General features: G+C 42.6%; 1 protein-coding gene across 73 annotated transcripts in view; it reads left to right on the top strand.

Annotated features, from left to right (window-relative positions):
- Positions 1-14,747, top strand: part of ANKS1B (ankyrin repeat and sterile alpha motif domain containing 1B) — a 1,250,151-nt gene that overhangs the window by 1,194,072 nt on the left and 41,332 nt on the right. For all 73 annotated transcript variants that reach the window (XM_006719514.5, XM_006719507.5, NM_020140.4 and 70 more), the window contains 2 exons: positions 8,728-8,739; positions 9,662-9,748. In XM_006719514.5, coding sequence (XP_006719577.1) covers positions 8,728-8,739; positions 9,662-9,748 — 99 coding nt within the window. The remainder of the gene's footprint in view (positions 1-8,727; positions 8,740-9,661; positions 9,749-14,747) is intronic.

Genomic DNA, 14,747 nt, shown 5'->3' with positions numbered 1-14,747 from the left:
GTCTCAAGCTCTTTCTAAACATGTTGATTGATTGAGTCTCTTCTCATTGGCCCAGGTATATTGATCCACTGAAAGTTCATTGTTGCAACCACCATTTCCCTGCCATCATAGCAAGTAGCCTGGAGAGTGTTCAGTTATGCACACAGATTTCAATTTTGTTTCTGCTCTCTTTTGCCAGTGCTTTGCTTTGGAGAGGGACTTTCTAAGTGAAAGCATCTATCCTCAGAATAACAATAACAGCTGGCCGAGCAAGGTGGCTCACACCTGTAATCCCAGCACTTTAGGAGACTGAGGCAAGAGGATCTCTTGGGGCCAGGAGTTTGAGACCAGCTTGTTCAACACAATAAGACCCCCATCTCTACCAAAAAAAATACTGTTTTTAAGCAGTAATAGCTAAAATCTGTTGATGTTCACTACATGCTAGGCACTGAATTATCCTGTACAATCCTCACAACTCTAAAATGTAGATGCTATATTAACATACCCGTTTACAGATGAAGTAACTAAGACACAGGGAGGTTGAGTACCTAACCACGCCGCAAGGAAGGAATGGAACTAAGCCAGGAATCCAAACATACCCTGTACTCTCATTTGCTGACAACTACCCCTTTCTTCTCAGAGGAAGGAGCTCCTCAGTGGGTCCCTTCATAAGCTCAAGATGGCTACACACACCCCCAAAAAACACAGAAGTTGCACTTATAAGTGATAGATTCAAACAGTGTGTTTTTTCACACATTTGCAATTGGCATTTTTAATTAAAATCATACATTTTTAAAATTTTATTACAAAAGCAATACACGTTCATTACTGTTCACTTCTAAAATAGAAAAACAGGAAGGAGAAATAAAAACAACTGTGATTTTACCACCTAGAAGTGGTAAATTCCTCCCTGTTAACATCTTATGCTTGTGTAATCCTCCAGACCAATTATTTATGCATTTGTAGGTACTATTTTTCTAGTAAGAAGTGGAAATATTGCATATCCACTGTTTTACCGTGTATTTTAAACACAATAATATATTTTGAAATATTTTTATTCCTATACATATTCATCCCCAATATCATTTGTGGTGGTTGGTTACAATATTCCAATCCATAGTTGAACCAAATTTATTTAACCAGTTCTCCTTGTTGGTCATTCTGTCATTTCCAATTCTTTTCAAATGATAGCCAGTACTATGGGTAACACCCTTTACCTAAATCTTTTGCAGTTGGTTTGATTATTTCCTTAGAATGAGCCACTAGATATAGAATGGCTGGATCAAAGGGTATACACACTGTGAAACTTTGGATAACTATTCCCAAATTGCCTTCTAGAAAACTTCTTCCAGATTACACTCCCAGGGGCAGTACACAAGCCCATGTTCATGTTTGCCTGTCACATCTCTCAAGAGCATGTGCTTAATTTGAGGGAGAATAGGGGAACTTTAATAAAAAAAAAAAAACTATACATCTTCATCTTCAGCAAGACCCCTGATCTTATTAACTCTATCGTTGTTTTTTCAGGTTTTTTGTTTTTGTTTTTGTTTTGAGTCTCTCTGTCGCCCAGGCTGGAGTGTGGTGGTGCAATCTTGGCTCACTACAATCACTGCCTTCCAGGTTCAAGCAATTCTCCTGCCTCAGCCTCCCGAGTAGCTGGGATTACAGGCGCCCGTCACCACGTCCAGCTAATTTTTAAATTTTTAGTAGAGACGGGGTTTCACCATGTTGGCCAGGCTAATCTTGAACTCCTGATCTTCAGTGATCTGCCCGTCTCGGCCTCTCAGAGTGCTGAGATTATAGGCATGAGCCACTACACCCGGCCAACATCTATTCTGGGTACAACTCTTGAATCTGTCATTATGAACTGAACTCTTTGTTTTATGTGAAGAATGTTTTATCCATTCACAGTCCCTGAGAAACCATGAAGAATTAAATAATTCTTGTTAATTGCTCTCAAGACCAAGAGCTGTAGCTAAATGCTAACTAAGGATTTTTGGAAATCACTTGTCAAGTGGAGAACAGTGTGTTTTGATAAACTAGATTCTTTCTGAATTAATGTAGGATGCAGTACAGCGAGTTTACATGCACAGCAGCAGAGAACAGTTCTGACAGTAACTTTCAATCAAACTGATCGACCGCATTTTTAGAGCAGTAGTTCTCAAAGTATGGTCTCAGACGTGCAGCATCAGCAGCATATAGAAACGGAGGGCACCGCTTTGTGCTGTGCCAGACTTGTGCTCCAGAGCATGTGAGTTACACAGGCAGTACAATGGCCATGTCATATGCAGGAGGTGTGGTTTCAATGGCTGCTTGCCCACTGTCTGTTCTTGTCACCTGGTCTTAGGTTCTGTATTCCCTCAGCCTTTGTGCCAGACCTCCTATGACCAGAAAAGTCCTTGCAAGGTCATTTAGCCTCATTAATGACAGATGAGAACCCAAACTATTTTTAAAGATGTCTAGAGGGGGAAACTTCCCAGCTGCCCTTAGGAATCCTTCTACCCTGTCAAGAAGGCTTTTCTTCTTAATGCTTGCAATTTGAGCCAGTTTGCTTTGCAGAAACGAAGACCTAAGCCTTGCCTCCTTGAGACTGAAAACTCTCATGATCTTTTTTTTTTTTTTTGTCTGTTTTCTTCTCTTTTCTAGAGATGGGGGGTTTCACCATGTTGGTCCGGCTGGTCTTGAACTCCTGACCTCAGGTGATCCACCCACCTCGGCCTTCCAAAGTGCTGGGATTACAGGCGTGAGCCACCACACCCAGCCAAAATCTTTGAAGTTTTCTCCACCCCATAGGAATGTCTTGGTAACCCTCTAATCACATTTGTGGTCCTCCTGCAAGCTTTGCAAGGCCTCTTTGCTGGCTCTGGGTACCAGAGCTCTCTGAAAGTTTGCTGAGCTCTCAGCGTGTTGAGAGGCTGGCACTGTGCTTCCTTTTTTTTTTTTTTGGAGATGGAGTCTTGCTCCGTCACCCAGAGTCTCGCTCTGTCACCCAGGCTGGAGTGTAGTGGTGCCGACTCAGCTCACTGCAACCTCTACCTCCTGGGTTCAAGCAATTCTCCTGCCTCAGCCTCCTGAGTAGCTGGGACTACAGGTTCCCACCACCATGCCCGGCTAATTATTTGTATTTTAGTATAGATGGGGTTTCACTGTGTTGCCCAGGCTGGTCTCGAACTCCTGAGCTCAGGCAATCCGCCCACCTCAGCCTCCCTACGTGCTGGGATTACAGGCGAGAACCACCACGCCCAGCCTGTGGTTCCTTATAACGCTGGCTACGTGCTTGTTACGATACATTAATTCACTGGCCTGTTCCTTTAACAGTCATGGAGTTCAGCAACCATTAGATCGAATCCTATGAAACTGCTGGTACTTAGCCATTCTTGACTTGAAAAATGGCTACTTCATAGGGCTCAATGTAAGACCATGTGCTAGTCATTACAGTGAAGACAAATCAAGAAAGGTGTGGGCAGTCCTCAAGGAGCTCCCTATAGGGAAGCAAGCAGACCACGCTGAGACCCAGGGCAGTGCACGGGAAAAGTGGCAGAGAGGGGAACAAGAGAAAAGCCATCCTGTCAGCCTGGGAGACCGCGGAAGCCTTTCCCCAGAAAGTGGCCTTTAAGCTCAGTTTCAAATGGTGAGAGTTCATTTCAAATTGCTGATTGGTGTTCTGCTTTTTATCTCTTGTAATCCCACAACCTAGCTAGTTTCACTGCCTACAAAATCACCACAATAATGCTTATTTTGTGTATGTTTTTTAATCATTTGAAAGTCACTTAGGGCTACCAAACATAATTGCTTGATCCTATTTTAATTTACTTGCTGAAATGGAATATAATAATTAAGCTTTGAATCTAACTAAGGAAGATATTATATGCCAAAATTAATAGTTACGACTCAGGACTGAATATCTAACTAGAAAGCATTCTCAGGATAGCCATGTGTAGGTTAAAAATATACTGTAAGTTGGATGGCAACAGACCAACCGGAAATCCCTTCCCCAGCCTGTGCTTCAGATACACTGGGAGCAATCGGGGCATTGTAAGAATGAAGGGTTGGTGGCGTCCTCCCCACATTAGCCTCACTGTTTTCCCTGTCTGTGCTGATGATGGGGCACTAATGATTCTTACTCGGAACATTAACACCACTCCAGACTCAAAGAGCATTACAGCTCACAACTGAAGTGCTCCCCATCATAAACCCCTCTGCTTTCATTCGTGCTCGGAAAAGTCTTGCTCTGAGATTAGAGTTCGTGCACTCTGGAAAGGGTATCTCCATACTACTGATTCTGCATTCAAAATAGAAAACCTACTTATTTTCAGAACATGCTTTAAGGCAGTAATAAAAGCACCAATGATAATTTCTGACCTGATACCAAGCCGTTCATAATTTAAAATTAAAAAGGAGAAGAAGAAAGATGGTTATTTCTTTCTCTTGGTGATTTCAAAATCTCTTCTTTTTAAAAATGCTCTAAAAGCATTCAGTGACTTACTAAGAACAATATTTCAGGTGGCCACCTCCAGATATGAAATTCTGATTCCTGTTTCTGTTTAATGGTTATAGACAATATAAACTCAAGTGCTTAAAGAGAAGACTGCCTTTGAATTTAGGATTCAAATGTTGCATTGTATTTTAGATTTCAGAAACGTAACATCTCTATATAACTAAATATCATTTCTCTTGGAAAAATAAAAGTATGATCCTCTTAATTTGGGAAATTGTGAACAAAATACATTTGAATATCACTATAATGCTTTTTGCAGGTGACCAAGATGCTGTAAAAATTAAAATAATTTGGAGCCTTACCCAGGAGTATTTATCTGCTTATGTACTCAGAGGTCTCCATTACAAATTAGTCTCTTCTGTAAAGCTGGCTCTGAAGGGGGGTAAATTTGAGAACATTGGGAAACCTGAAAAATGCCACAAAGAGCATGGCATAGGGAAAAGCAACTAGAAACGAAAGAAAACGATAACAGAAGGTTCGCCTTGAGCATCTTTCACTGGGGAAATGGGCCTGAAGTACAGAGTTCTGTTTATACAAATCAATAAAGCTTGAATTTTTAACAGAAACATATGGGAGTATTAATTATACAGACACCCAGCAGAGCATGCAGATAGATAGGTCATAGAAACCAGTGTTGCCTGAGAGCACGTGCTCAGTAACTTGATGTTCAGAGTAGGCGCCTTCGTCCCTGGGAAGGAGAAAAGAATGATGATCATAACACCGAAGAGAAAATGGGGAAGGAGGGACTTTGACTGCCTGTGATTGGACTGAAGCCCCGTGCTCACATTTTGATGCCTGTAAAGCCTTCATGAAATGAAGTGGGCACTTACTAGATTTCTTGCCTCCCAGATTAGACTCCCTGAAGACTCAATAACTTTGATCTTTGCCTTTTTTTTCCTTTTTCTTTTTCTTTTTTTTGAGACGGAGTCTCACTCTGTTGCCCAGGCTGGAGTGCAGTGGCGCGATCTTGGCTCACTAGAATCTCTGCCTCCTGGGTTCAAGTGATTCTACTGCCTCGGCCTCCTGAATAGCTGGGATTACAGCCACCCACCACCATGCCTGGTTAATTTATTTATTTTTAGTAGAGACGGGGTTTTGCCATGTTGGCCAGGCTTGTCTCAAACTCCTGACCTCTGGTGATCTGCTCACCTCAGCCTCCCAAAGTGCTGGGAATACAGGCATGAGCCACCATGCCTAGCCTCTTTGCCTTCTTTCTATGCATTTTCATCTTTTGCTAAGATTATGTATGAAAAGACCTCTTTGGAAACTCTTGTCAAAGTACACCATCAGAAAACCCCTTTAAAAGACGATGGATCCTTATCTTTTGTAGGGTGTATAAATGCCTTCAAGGAGGGGCTCTACCCAGAAGATTTCCCACCCTCCCTTTGAACTCTCTGGCTGGTCAGGATCCATCAGCTTCTTGTCAAATGACTCAGTGGAGAGAGCAGTACAGTTTGGGCTCCAGATTGGAAAGCATGGCCACCCCCAACACTGCCATTCATAGAGGCCTGTGCACAGCCTGCATCACTGACACCATAGTGCTGCCTCCAGTTAGGAGAGCAGAGATTCCTGGGACCCATGGAAGAAAAAGAAATGACTATCCTTCATCTTTTCTTTTTTTTGTTCAACTTGGCCGAGCATCTGATGTGGGATCTTTGTACCATCACAGGAACCACCGCTGATGCCTTCATGTCAGCTCAAGAGCTGTGTCCTGACCTGCCTGTTGTTCCAGCTTTCTGCTTCCTTTAACTGGCATCCATTGCACAGCTCACTGTGTTCTCCTCTCCAGCTGCTGCCACCATTTTCTTGAAGCTACTCTTAATGAAATCAGCAACAATTTTTTCTTGTTGCAAAAGCCAGGAATTCCACCCAGTAAGCCCAATGAAAGTAGCAGCTCCTGTGTGAGCCAGCCACTGTGGTAGGCACACCATTTTAGGCCTTGTTAGTCCTCATGGCATGGGGCATTGCTCCTACCTTCTAAGCCCTCTCCTCTTTGGCTTCTGTGATACTGTGTTGTAGGCATCTTCCAACTTCAATTCCAGTTCCTTCATTAGCTCTTGTTTCTGCCCCACCCCTTGGGATTTCATCTTCCCCTGAAGTGTGTCCTTCCCTCTTTTCTTGTTCACTCCTTAAACCACCTTGTCCACTCCCACCTCCTTGGCCATCCATGTATGTAGGTGGATTTCCAGATCTGATTCTCATTTCCTACTGGATATCTCCACCTGCTTATCAAACTGAGCATGTGCAAAAGCATTTCCATTATGCTTACGCAAAAACACTTTCCCCTCCAGTATTCCTTATCTCAGTGGCTTCTTCATCTGTGGAATCCTCCCACCCATTCATCTTCCATAGCAGATCAATCAACAGAACCTCTCAGTTCTTCCTCATCGACATTGTGGTGCCTCCTCCTGTTCTCCAATGCCTCTACTTCAACTCAGGTGCTTAGGGTCTCTCTCTCCTTTGGATTTGCACAATAACTTCCTGACTCCCTGCATCCAGCCTCTAGCTCTTCCAGTCCCTCCTTCATAAACAACCACCAGAAGAATCTTTCTGCAACACAGGTCTGATTGTGTCACTCTCTAGTGAAAAGCTTCCAACGGACCCTAACTTGGCAGAGTAAGTCACAACCTTCCAAACCTACTCTACCACTCTCATCTCCACCAGTTACCCAAACCCACCACATTCTCATTTCTAGGCCTCTGTGCATGTATTAGTTCTGTTGCTAAAACAGCCTCTTTTGGCCTCTTTGCTACTTGGAAAATGCTTATTCATCAAGAGTCAGCTCAATCACCCCTAATAGGCCGTCATTGTCTTTTGAATGAATGAATGAAGACTGGCCCCACTCTGTCAAGCAAAATAAGGCTGTTTTTATTCACTATCCTGGAGGCATGTTGTTCATATTGCTCCTGTCACATTTGTCAACATTGTAATTGTAGCTGTTCTTCCTATCAGACCTAGCAGGCATGTTCATGTGTAGCCCCTGGGCCGCCTCGTCCTCTTCTTCTCCCATGGCAGACATCATTTCCAGCCCTCTTTTCTACTGAGCTCAGACACAGCTCAGAATCTTTCTCAACACAGTGCTTTCAGCAGACTGGTGTTTGCACACAGTTTGAGGTCTGTCTGCCATCCCTGAACTAGACTCGAGCTTTTCCAGTGACAAGCACAGTGGGTTGCCTAAAGTAACAACTCGATTGCTGAACAAATAACGAATAGATTTTCATCTGAATATTAGCTGTATATTGCTTTGCATTACAGATAGATCTGTCCAGGAGAATGGATTCATGGCAAAAGATAAGTGAGGTGATTTACCGAAATCCACTGTGACGCTTTGCAGAAAATTTTTCACATATGCATTCAGTTATTCCAACTATCGCCTGGGCTGCCCCAGCCCTCCCTCTTTACAGAGTTCAGCCACCGCGTTGCCTTAAAATCAACACATTGCACATGATTTCTTCTAGCCTGCCTTTGATGTGTCTTGCACATTTTTAAGAAGTGGTTGGAAGAAGCATTAAAACGAGTTTCTAACCTTATATTTTATTTTCATAATCTCTCTTTTTGGCAATCACAAAGGAACACTGATGCATCCAGGGAATTTCAAAACTGGTTAAAAAGCAAGAGAGCTGCTTTTTCACATCCTGTATACAACAACAGATATTAAATAACAATACTTTTAGTAAGCCATTGTTTTTGAAACAGGCGTAGTAACTCTCAAAAAGATGTTGTGCCAAAACAATCAGGAAAATGTGAAACACCCCTTTTCACAGCTCAACTAAAAGATGCAATTGAAGTCTCATCATTGAGTTCAATGAGTTTCACTCACACTATCCAATTAAAAGCCTTCCTGAATTCTGGCTGCATTCCAGAATTTAAAACTAGAAAATTGGGAAATATAAATGAATAAATCAAGAAAGTTTCTATTTTTTCCTGATTCCCTTAATAGACATAAGACAACTAGTTGTTGAAAGCTCAAAGTGGAAGGTTCTTGTGTGTCAGTCCTAAGACTGTGCGGTGCAGTAAACAGAATGATGAGAAACAGAGAAAGAAAGGGGCCGGTGAAAGCCTGCAGCATTTCTAAAATAACAGTGGCACTGCATCTTTGATGACTCTGAAGCCTGTTCTTTTGTGGCATCTTTTGTTTTTTAATGAATTTACACTGTTGGTGAATTATTGAAATGGTTTCCTCTCTCTCACCTTTTATATGTTTTCTCTCCTATTATGTTCCCATCTGTCTTAACTGGAAAATCCACCAGGCTAACTGTCAGGTAGGTTCTTCTTGATGTTTAGTGTGATTATTACTAGTATATATAGAGGGCAATGAAGTAAACTGACTGCTGGTGACTGGTGATGAATGATAAAGCTAAACAGGAAAGGCACATACTAAATTATAGAGAAACTTTTTGCAGATGCATAAAACTGTACAAGCTGCAAACTCTAAGCACATTCAGCCAGTGTGAACATCTATCACAAGAACTTGGCCTAAGGGAATGTAGCAGCTCTAAATGATAAAGTAGGTTACCTGGGCTGTCCAGCATTTTGCTGTGGCTCAAAACCCAGACTGCTCCTGGAGGGCTTCATTGTTCTAGAGCATCATTACATCCCTTGTGGTCACAAGTGATTCTGCTGTAAATATAATATCAGCATTTATGGATTTGGTCCAGTTCAAGAACAATACATAGTGATATCTTTTACATCCCTATTTTAAGTATACATCCAAGCATTATCTGTGCCTGGAAGAATGAAGGTAACTAGGAAAAGGGGGGGTGCATATATTTTGTTAATGTCAAATGCACCCTTGGAGTTAAGTCCGATGTGGTTTAACTCTTGTGAAAGGAACAGTCACTTGAAATTGCAGTAGGAGACAGACCTCTTCATTCACCCTTTAGTGTCAGGGAAAAGAAGTACTCCTTCATCCACACAAAGTAGCGGAACAAACTCTTTTTAGATCCTCAAGGGCAAGACGGATAACTTTATAAGCCCGAAGTATAGCTAAGCCCAAGAGAGGAGAGGCAGACATTAAAATTAGAGTGTGCGTGGTGTGTATCTGATGTGTGTGTGTGTGTGTGTGTGTGTGTGTTGTTGTTGTTTTTAATTTGAGCTCATCTTTATCTTTCAGGAGGAAAAATTGTGTGCTTCAGTTGCCACGCAACACAAACTGCTCTAACAGCTTTCTAATTTTAATTTCAGAAGTCTACAGAGCAAATGAAGAAGGTCCCTACTATTATTCTTTCTGTCTCATATAAAGGAGTCAAATTTATTGATGCAACAAATAAGGTAAGTACCACTCCTCTCTCTGGTTTAGACACCAGATGCAGTCCTGAGTGTATGATCTAAAATCCTTTGCTTCCTATAATACCCAGCACTCCCCACTGTAATCATCCCTTTCCCCCAACCTTCATGCTTCCTACATATACCTATAGATACACGCTCATGTACACACACACATACACACCTTCATACATACAGAAAGGAACCATTTGGGGGAAGGGCTTGATCTGGGGTTTCTATAAATATTGTGCTTTCACTTTGTCATGATGCTTTCTCTAATAGACTGTGGCCACTTATTATCCAGCATGTCCCTTTGGATCTGGAGAACATTGAAACAGAAAACAAAAATCACTTGTAGATTGAAAAGTCAACAATGTCATCACTCCTCCATCAGAGGAGATGTTACTAGATAAAGGGCTAGAACATTTGTCTTTCTGTTTATCTAGAGATATATATGTGTCTTTTCTGTTGATAATTTTCTGACTTTTTAATTTTATAACTACATTTAATTCCCAGCCTCTGAGATGGGAGAGAGTTTCAGCTGTACTGTTTTCTTAAGAGACACAATCAGAAAAGAGCCCAGGCCATGCTGTGGCTCCGCTGTGACTTCTTCCTCACAGTGGGAATAGTTTGTGGGCTGTGATGTCAAGCGTGGTCAGTGGGGTTGCATTTTACTGAAAAAGCATTCCTTTCTTGACAAAGACAACAGCATCGTGGTGCTGAAGTAGAAAGCTTGGGTGTGACCATTGTCCCTCTCCATAAACTCAAAGCTGACTGACTCCTCCTCACAAAACCCCAAACGTTCATGTGTTTTATTCCTGCATCCTTTCAACTAATCAAGTACAGAAGGAGGGTAAAAGAGGTGATCACCATTGGTGAATGCTGGTCTTTCTCTGGACCTCTCACCCAGACCTCCCACCTGGACCCCCTCCGTTTTGGAGAAAGGGAACAGAAGTCATGAAACAGGTGAACTTAAGAAACAGCAACTTAGGGCCAAGGCAACTGGATTTAGGTTCCAGGGAAAAGTCTCACGGGCAGTGACTCTTTGGTGTCTCTATTAAACCCCAGCATCTGAATCGGAAGTTTTTCCAATTGGTTTTCTGTGACGAAAGAGATTGTTGTTTCAGTAGTTAGGTAAACCCAAGTTCCCCAAATCTGCTTGGGAAAACAACCTCCCGGTTATAGAAAAAGTTCTGAAACCCAGGCAAAAAGCATATAACCCAGCATCATGCTGACCAATAATATCAGCATAATGGTGATTCCAACTGTGCAAAATATTGTTGATGGTTGTTGACAGATAATAATTGTGGAGACTCAAATAAGAACAATGCTGATTGATTTGCTTTTTTATTTCTTGGAAGCATCTTTAGTTCCTGGTATATAAAATTACTTTATCCTTAAATTATAGTCAGTTGGTTTTAAAAGTTCTAACACTTTATGGAACACATTATAGAATGGCAAAGATACCATTGCTATTGCTGTATCTAAATCTTAAGAAAGACTTTGGCACCTGGATTTTTTTTTCCCTAAATTGAAACAACTCCCTCTATCCCATTTATGCTTGGAAAGCTTGAATAGCAGTATATTTTCAGTGGATGAATTTGACACTCTCTTAGATGAACAACTTTAGCAGACTTGGATTCTGACAATTTCTAAACAAGTGGTATTTGCCCTGAGAAGTTCCTACAGTCCTAAGGCAATCATTTCATGATTTTGGGGGTATGGCTGGATGCAGCTGTATTAATAGCATTTTCTCTAACCCACTCTCCACAATCAGAGGAATGAAAGAGAGCTCTGCCGGTTCCATTGTATGTTGCTTACTGACACGGCAAGAGACACAGAAGTTGATGCTCCTGTGCCTCAAGGAGATACTTCTACTTCAATTGCCAATAATTAGATGAGTTAACCATAAACCTCTGCTCACTGATGACTACTCTTGGAAGCAAAAGCACAGAAAGATATGCAAAAGATAATTCTATGTAAATAAAGATGCTAAATAAAGAAGGTCAGCATATTTTTTCAAGTCTTTGCAGTGTGGTCCTCAACATATTTTCAGAATCTAGAGCAAAGGCAAAGTGCCTATGTTGGTGGCAAGTGGAGCCAGTCTGTGAATGTATGACAACATGTGCCTGGCTTTTTAAGGAACTGAAGGATGTTAATTTCAACTGGCTATACAGGGTCCACATCCCAGTGACCTGCAAGGTAGCTGATCTCCCCCAGTATGACAGTGGGTAGGGAGAGTGTGGGTGACTCAGGGCAATAGTCTAGTAGTTGCTGTGTAGGGAGCCCAAGTAGAGAGATTGTGTTTAGCAGGTTAGAAGAAAGAAAATAGTGGAAGGCCGTATTGGTGGAGTTTGACTGGGTAAGACTGAGAAATACTACCATCAGCCAGGGTGGGAGGACTGGCTTCAGAAGGGACGGAGGATCCACAGTTGAAGGATCATCCTCAAGTTGTGGTGTGAAAGGAACCATGCCCAGATACCTAGATTCTAGCAGTGTGTGCGAGGACACCTGTGTATGCTACTTTGTTCTAGAGCAAAGAGCACAGCAGAAAAGGAGCAGATTGATAAACTCCAGAGTCCTGCTTTCTGTTTTCACCAGGGATTTCCCCCACTGGGCAGTGCTGTGTCAGTGGGCCACTTTGATTTGAAGCAAAGAACTTTTAATATGCAAGCATATTTAAAGATCTCACCATTTCAGGTACTAGAGGCCACTAGGCCTGGAATTCAAGCGATTCTCATGCCTCAGCCTCCCGAGTAGCTGGGATTACAGGTGTGTGCCACCATGCCCGGCTAATTTTTGTATTTTTAGTAGAGATGGGATTTCGCCATGTTGGCCAGGCTGGTCTCGAACTCCTGACCTCAGGTAATCATCCGCCTCAGCCTCCCAAAGTGCTGGGATTACAGGCATGAGCCACCACGCCCAGCCTACTGTTCATATTTTATGTTTTCATCGTACTTTATTCTTCAACAGTACTCTCCTAACCTTGCATCTCGTACCCCTGCCTTGGTCAGAGAGGTGATTGTTTAATCTGCCCTGGGCAGCTGGAGACCTGAAGGCCTCAGTCCCTTGGCTCAGTGCTGCCCTGCAGTCACACAGCCTGTTGGTCGTGAAGAACGACTAAAACTTGATTTTCAACCTCCCTAACCTAATGCTTTTTCTGTTACTCCACAGCTACCTTCCACAAATTAGTTTGAAGTGCAAACTAATTCATTGTGTGATAATTCATTGTGTGTTAATTACTCTTCCCTTCCTATTAGCCCCCATTAGACTTTGTGAAAGATTAACCCTCCGTGAAGCATTTCTTTCCTTTGATTATAATAAATAAATGGGTTTGGCTGAATTCATGGGAAAGGGTTAGAGGCCTAGTTATAAACTCATAAATGTATTGCCTAGCAACTTAGGAAATGAATTGAATCACTAATCCTGATTTAAGAAGGAGGAAGCAGAAAGCGATCTTGAATTAAAAGTGGAACTTGCAATAGATTTAGCACTAAAGTGTTTTAGATAAATCACCTCAGCCTTCTGTTGATCAATAGCCCAAAGGTTGCTCTAGCAGGGAATTCGGCCTGGGGGACTGCAACTGTTTAGTAACGGACCCTTCTTCAGGTTGGGGGAGTCGGGGAGGGAGGTCTTCCGAGAGGAGACACGGTTTCTACATTCAGTGCTCAGCTGAGGAGCAGGTTGCATTTTGCCTTCCTGTGCTGACTCCCTCCTCAGCCTTCCCATCTGGCTAAATTAAAAATGATGCAGTGCCAGGGTTTGTTTTTTGCTTTCATTGTTGTTTTGTTTTTTGAGTTTTTAAAAATTTTTTTGGAATGCCAATTTTAAACAAGGCCTATGCTATTTTAGGGGCACAAAATACTTTGGAACATTTGCCTAAACAAGTGCCTGTTGTTTGGGGGTTTTTTTGTTTTGTTTTGTTTTTAAGAGACAGGGTCTCACTCTGTTGCCCAGGCTGGAGTGTAGTGGCGCCACCACGGCTCACTGTAACCTCAAACTCCTGGGCTCAAGTGATCCCCCAACCTCAGCCTCCAGAGCAGCTGAGACTACAGGTATGCACCACCAAGCCTGGCTAATTATTTAAGTTTTTTTGGAGTGATGGGATCTCGCTATATTGCCTAGGCTGGTCTTAAACTCCTTGCTTCAAGCAATATTTCTGCCTCAGCTTCCCAAAGCACTGGAATTACAGACATGAGTCACTGCAGTGGGCCTCCCATTGTTTTTTTTTATAGCAAATACTCCTAAGAAGCTTGGAGACAAATTAAGGCCATGTTAAGCACATGTGCTGTTCTCAGCATCACGTGCCCCACAGGGCATCACCAGTTAGCTCTAGGTCTATACTGTTGGCCCCGCCCTGGAGGGAACACTGCAGTCTCCTCACTCAGGAAAAGCCCGGCTGATGAGGAGATGCAAGAGAAAGGTCCCACCTGTCGGGGCTCAGATTGAATGCAGTGGCGAGAGGCAGATTTCTAAGCTGCATCACTTCATCACCACGCGCCCTTCTCAGAACCACCATATGAGTTAGCTGGACCCGAGAATCCTGTCCTACCCCTACCAGCAAGACACCTCTTCAGCTGTTTCTCACCATGATGGCAAACAACAGACAGGCAAAACCATCTCTCCCTATTGAAGGGTGCTATGCTGCCAGAATTTCTATCCCCAAGAAGAGGCAGGAGGAGCCCCTCCCCAGTTCTTCTCTTGAGCCTTTTAAAGCTCTGGCCTTCTTAAAATGTGCTTAGAAATGGAGACTGATCAACATGTGAGGAGTCCAGTTTTCAACTGAGGTGCATCACCTGTACCTCTTCATGACATCACTTTTTAATTTGTGGAAAAGCCACTCATAAATGCATGACACAAGGTGGAAAGAATGTGTTCCTCTTTGGCTTCTTCTCCAAGGAGGAAGTCTACCATCTAGTCTCCATACAGTCTACAACTGTAGTATCCTTGACCTTTGATTCGTCCTGCACATAGAGAACTGGCTTCACCATTCTGCACAGGTAGA

The sequence above is a fragment of the Homo sapiens genome, chromosome 12, assembly GCF_000001405.40.
Source record: "Homo sapiens chromosome 12, GRCh38.p14 Primary Assembly".
Lineage (NCBI taxonomy): Eukaryota > Metazoa > Chordata > Mammalia > Primates > Hominidae > Homo > Homo sapiens.
The sequence above is the reverse complement of the archived record's forward strand: the minus strand, read 5'-3'. Positions and strand labels throughout refer to the sequence as shown.